This window comes from Homo sapiens, chromosome 20 (genome assembly GCF_000001405.40).
Source record: "Homo sapiens chromosome 20, GRCh38.p14 Primary Assembly".
Lineage (NCBI taxonomy): Eukaryota > Metazoa > Chordata > Mammalia > Primates > Hominidae > Homo > Homo sapiens.
The window spans coordinates 58,715,987-58,721,347 of NC_000020.11; the positions used below are offsets into that span (position 1 = coordinate 58,715,987).

At 56.5% G+C, this 5,361-nt stretch overlaps 1 protein-coding gene across 1 annotated transcript; it reads left to right on the top strand.

The window, feature by feature from the left end:
- On the top strand, positions 1,609 to 3,245 carry LOC124904942 (uncharacterized). The gene is made up of 2 exons (XM_047440632.1): positions 1,609 to 2,009; positions 2,094 to 3,245. Exons 1-2 carry the CDS (start codon positions 1,609 to 1,611, stop codon positions 2,239 to 2,241), a joined length of 549 nt encoding a protein of 182 aa, XP_047296588.1. The 3' UTR covers positions 2,242 to 3,245.
- Positions 3,246 to 5,361: the final 2,116 nt, after the last annotated feature.

The following is a 5,361-nucleotide window of genomic DNA, read 5'->3' on the forward strand; positions in this document are numbered from 1 at the left end:
CAGGAGCCCAGGACCTGGGGAGGACAGGGGGCCGCTGGGCCTAGGCCTGGCCTTCCTGACCATTTTGATTTTCTGGGTGCACACAGCACAGACTCCAGGTGGAAGTGCTGTGGGCTCCTGAACTCTCTACAGCCCGGCAGCCTGCACGGAGGCCGTTCTGTCTCTCGAGGGTCCTGGAGCCTGCGCTGTGTGAGGTCGACTGTGCTTCCGTGCCCCTGGGCACTGTCCTAGGTGATAAAGGGCAGGGCCCCGAAGCCAATTCGGATCTCCCGGGAGCCCCGCCAGGATTCAGGGAACCCCTGAACCTGGGCTCCAGGAAAAGCAGGTGAGGCGGGTCCAAGGCACCCAGGAGCCAGGCTCCCACTGGCTTGGGTGACAGTACAGGCCAGGACCTTGTCCCTGCCATACATCCCCTTTGCTGTCAGTCGCAGCAGGGCTGCCTGGGGCCCCCCAGGAAGGGATTGGGTCTGAGGCCCCACAGGGAAGGGGACAGTGCCCACCTCTCTTCAGCTAGGGCCGAGGGTGAGGACCTGGCTGCAGATCTGTGGGACACGTGGCCCTAGGCTGTGTCCTGAGCCCCTGGCCACCCCACCCCAAGGGTCCCCAGAATCCATGTGCCCCCACAGCCCTGGAAATCAAGGTGACTTTCTGGGCCTGATCGCAAGCAAATATTTATTAACTGCCTGCTGTGTACACAGCCCCGGCTGGGCCTGAAAAGGCAAGAACTGGCTCCAAGGTCCTGGCCCTGTCTGAGGAAACTGTCACCCAACACAATGACAGCAATTGTGGGCAGCAGCCGGGGAGACGGAGCCGGAGCTCCTGAGCAGGGGCGGCTGCAGCCGGGGTTAGGAGCCTTCACGGGTCATTAGCTTGCTTAATGGTGCTGCAGTAGGCCCCGCTTGCCGGCCTCCCCTGAGACACCCAGAAGAGGCAGAGGTCCTGAGGTGGCTGGCTCCTTCTCCAGGGCAGCTGGCACCGTCTGCTCCTGCTACCAGGGGTGCGCCCGCATGGACACAGGATGCAGGGTCAGGGAGCAGGGGAGGAACTGAGTCTCCCTTGTGCAGGCACAAAGGCGGCCTCAGGACCAGGGACCCAGCTGGGCACCAGCTGCTGGCTGGCCTGGCCTGCCTGCCGGCGTCGGGGGGCCCACGGGGGTGAGCCAGAGGCCTGGCTTTCCCTGGGGCCAAAGGGCTCTAGGAGGCAACGGCTGCTTCCCCAGGCCCCACCAGAGCCCTGGCAACAGGGTCATGGGGCGGCTGGCGGTGCTGGGGGGCAGGTGGGTGCTCTGGGTCCACTTGATCATGGTTTCCGGGGAGCAGTGCAGGAAGACGAGCTTGGTGCAGAGCCCCCACAGGCAGGCTAGCGCACAGCCCCAAGGAAGTGCTCCCAGATGAACTTGGCCGAGAGCATCACCATGGCCACGCCAAGTAGGCGGGGCTAGGACCCCACCCACACCCCCTCCCTGGAATCCCAGGGCCCACCTGGGTGATGTTATCCCAGAGACAGGGACAAGAGATGAGAGGATGGAAATGTCTCTGGGAAAAAGGCTGCAGGAGCTGGAGGTGATGAGCAGAGCAGGCGAAGGAAAGGGAGGCCCCTCCTCCCTCCATGTTAGAGAAGGGAGCCCTAGATCTGGCCACCAGCGGCCTGTGCACACCTGGGGCTGAGGGCACACAGGGCTGCACATACACACTCAAGGCCACTGTGAGAACAGGTGAGCAGGGCCAGAGGGCTATGGAAAGCCCGGCTGAAGGCTGCACCTCCAGGCTGAAGAGAGCTTTACCGGCATCCGCCAGGAAGCCTGGGCTCTGGGGCTGTGTCATTGTAGATGACCATTTCCAGGTCGTGGCCACAGCCCCGGTTCTGGTCACAGCTGGGCCACCAATCCTCCTGCGCCACCCACCACTTAGCCATCGGGCCGTCTTCAGGGCATCGGCCGGCCTCAGCTGCTGCAGCCAGACCCTGGCGTTGCGGAAGGCTGGCCAGTCCACATCCTGCAGCCTACGAGGGTGCGCTGTGTGAGGGGTACAGGCCCCGGCCTGGGAGAGGACCCAGATGCAGGCCCCCAGAACTGATGGAAAATCTCTCCCCAGAGGTCAGGTCTTTGTCAGCAAAGGTGGGAAACCAGGGGAGCGGCGGCACCAGGCTCCAGAGACATTTGAAATGACTTCAGAAGACCCAGGGCCACTCAGGGTGACCACATCGGACAGCTGCCTCCCACAGGCTGTGACGGATGTTTAAGCAAGGGATCGATGGTCACCTGACTCTCAGGAGTGCAGGAGAGGCCACTGAGACCCATTCAGAAGGGACTGGGTGTTGGTCCCTGTGGACTCGGCCTCTGGCTGGTGGTGAGGAGGAGGATTTCTCACCACCCATCCTCTGGCCCCTGCTGCCCAAGGGAGCAGACTCCTGTGAGCTGGGTTCCGGGAAGTCCGTCTCCAGCAGGAACTCCAGGCCAAGCGCGCATCTCTGTGATCGTGTGTCACCATGGCGGTGCGTGCGTGAGTGCATGCGTGTGCACTGGTCTGTGGCCTGTGGTGCGTGAGTTCCACTAGGACCCATGTGAGGTGGAGGGTCTTCCACCTCCCCTCCCATTCGGGCCCTCCCTGTGCCACACAGACACCCATCTGTGCCTTCCCCTTCTGTGCCACCAAAAATGGAAGAGATAGACACTTAAAAGAAGCAACTCAAATGGAATGAAATCGTTTCTGTTGGGGAATGCTCAAGACGTTCAATCATCTTAGAAAATCCCACCCCACCTCCCGCTGCAGATTAATTACTGTAAGTGCAACTCCAATCGGGCTGGTGACCCCCCAGGAAACCTCTGAAGCTGTCCCAGGCTGTTCCCAACATGGGACCTCCACTCTGGCACACCAGGACCCGAGGCCCCTGACAGGCTCCTCGTTCCTGCCTCGCTCAAGGCTCAGGTCCCCCACCTGAAATACCCCCTCCCACCAGCATCTCCTGCCTCGCTCCTGCTGCCAGGTCCCCAAAAGCTCTTGTTCATGAGCTCGCCTGCCATCCACAGCCCCCACCAGAACCCAAGTGGCTGTGGAATTCGCTGCCCTGATTCTCTGCCCAGAGCCTCGGTCCAGACTGTGTTCCCTGGCGAATTAGTGTTCAGCATTTTTGTTTATTTGTTTGTTCTTTAACAAAAGTTGTTTTGGTTTGAGATTCAGCAAAAATACACACTGCATTCAGCTTCCTCTCCATTCAGGATTCAGTAAATTGGTTGTTTTCCTGTCTGCTTCGAGTCCTTGCCTCAAATGAGCCTTCAACAAGATAATGCATTGAAAAGCCCTTGGAAAAGTACCAGGCCCCGCGCACATGTACAGCCCAGGCCCCACGCACATGGACGGCATTGTCATCATGCAGCTCTCGGAGGCAAGGCCAGCAGCACACAAAGCTCCCACCTCACCCACATTAGGCTCAGCTTCTGGGGAACATTGGCCCAGGCGGGGGTCCTTCCCCACGGCCTCACAAATAGGGCTCAGGAGGGGTGGGGCTGCCTTCATGCAACCCTGCTGCTAGGCTGGTCCCCAAAGCCCAGACCTGTGCCCCTCCCCATGGCCTGGGCTTGCTTTCTTCCCTTGCACAGGGCCAAGGGGACAAGGATGCAGCAGATGAGATGCTAACACACCCTCAGGGAGGTGACAGTCCTTCCTGACATCCAACCGATGGGCCATCTTTGCTTTCAGTGCCTGCTGGAGTCCCGAGGGCTTTGGGGATCAGTCCAGGCAGCATTCTGCAGTCAGGAAAACAACATTGAAAACCAAAACCCACAATTACAAAGCATAGAAGCCTGGTTTACGTTCACCGATGGCACAGTTAGAACCCACGGCAGCCTCCAGCTGAAACGATCTGTTCCCATTGGCTGCATAAGAAACTCAGTGATGTCATGGACCCCTTTGCCTCCCTTAAATCAGTTTAGCAGTTACCCCAACTTCACAACCGTGAGTTCTTTTGAGGGCCTGAGACCCCCCTTTCTCCTAATGAGTTGGATAAGTTTCTGTGGCATCCATGACCCAGCTTGTTCCAGTGCATGAAGGCCCAAAGCCAGCTTCCTTGTCCAACAATATTTGCTAAACACTACTGGCATGCAGTCCCTGAAAAGCAGATCCCTCCTGCAGGTGTGTCTTCCCAGCCTGCAAGTGGAACGGCTTCCGGAAGGAGGAGCCGGCACGGCCCTGCAGGAAGCTGGAGGAGGGCTGTGCCCCTGGCACCCACAGGGGCGGGGGTGACTGAGGACTCCCCCCTGCCCCATCGGGGTGTTATTAGCCATTACCAGAAGAGCTAATGTGTCATCAGCAATTTGCCACATGCAAGGCAGCCCCTGGGAGGTGCTGTTATCTTCCCCCCTATTCCAGCAGGTGCAGAAGCCCCAGGTCGCACAGGTTGTTTGTGAAAGGGAAGGGGGCATCCAAACCCCGATGGCCCAGCAGATTCACGTATGCTGGCTGATGAAGGTGGGAGGGAGGGAGGGAAGTGAATAAATAGAAGGCCGGACAGAGACATACAGCCAGGCCAAAAGGACTCATTACTGTTGAATATCCCAGACTCATTACTGTTGAATACCCCGGGCCTCGGTCTCCTCATCTGTAAAATGGATGGGCCTTGCAAAACAAAAACCTTCATGACTTTGGATTTGTCATTGATTTCTTGGCTATGACACCAAAGGCACAGGCAGCAAAAGAAAAAATAGACAAATTGGACTTCATGCAAATTAAGAAATTTTGCACATCAAAAGACAGTATTCACAGAGTAAAAAGGCAACCCACACAATGGGAAAAACATTTACAAATCATATACCTGATAAGGCATTGATATTCAGAATATAAAAACTCCTAAAGTGCAACAACAACAATAAAAGAATCTGATTCAAAAACACTCAAAGGACGCTTCAATAGATAAAAAAGGACACAAATGGCTCAAAAGCACAGGAAAAGATGCTCGGCATCACCGTCATTCAAAAAATAGAAATTAAAACCCCGGTGAGAAACCACGCTGCACTCATTAGGAGGGCCACTATCACAAAAACAGAAAATAACAGGTGTTGGTAAAAATGTAGGGGAATCACAACGCTGGCGCACGGCCGGTGGGAATGGAAAATGGGTCAGGTGCTGTGAAAAACAGTATGGCGGTTCCTCAAAAGATTACAAATAGAATGACCACGCGATGCAGCAACTCCACTTCGGGGTATACACCCCAAAGAATTGAAAGCAGGGCCTCGAAGAGATATTTGCACACTCAGGTTCACAGAAGCATTATTCACAATCGCTCAAATGTGGATGCAACCCAAATACCCATCAGTGGATGAACAAGTAATAATCAAATGTCACAAATACAAGGTGTGGATGTTCA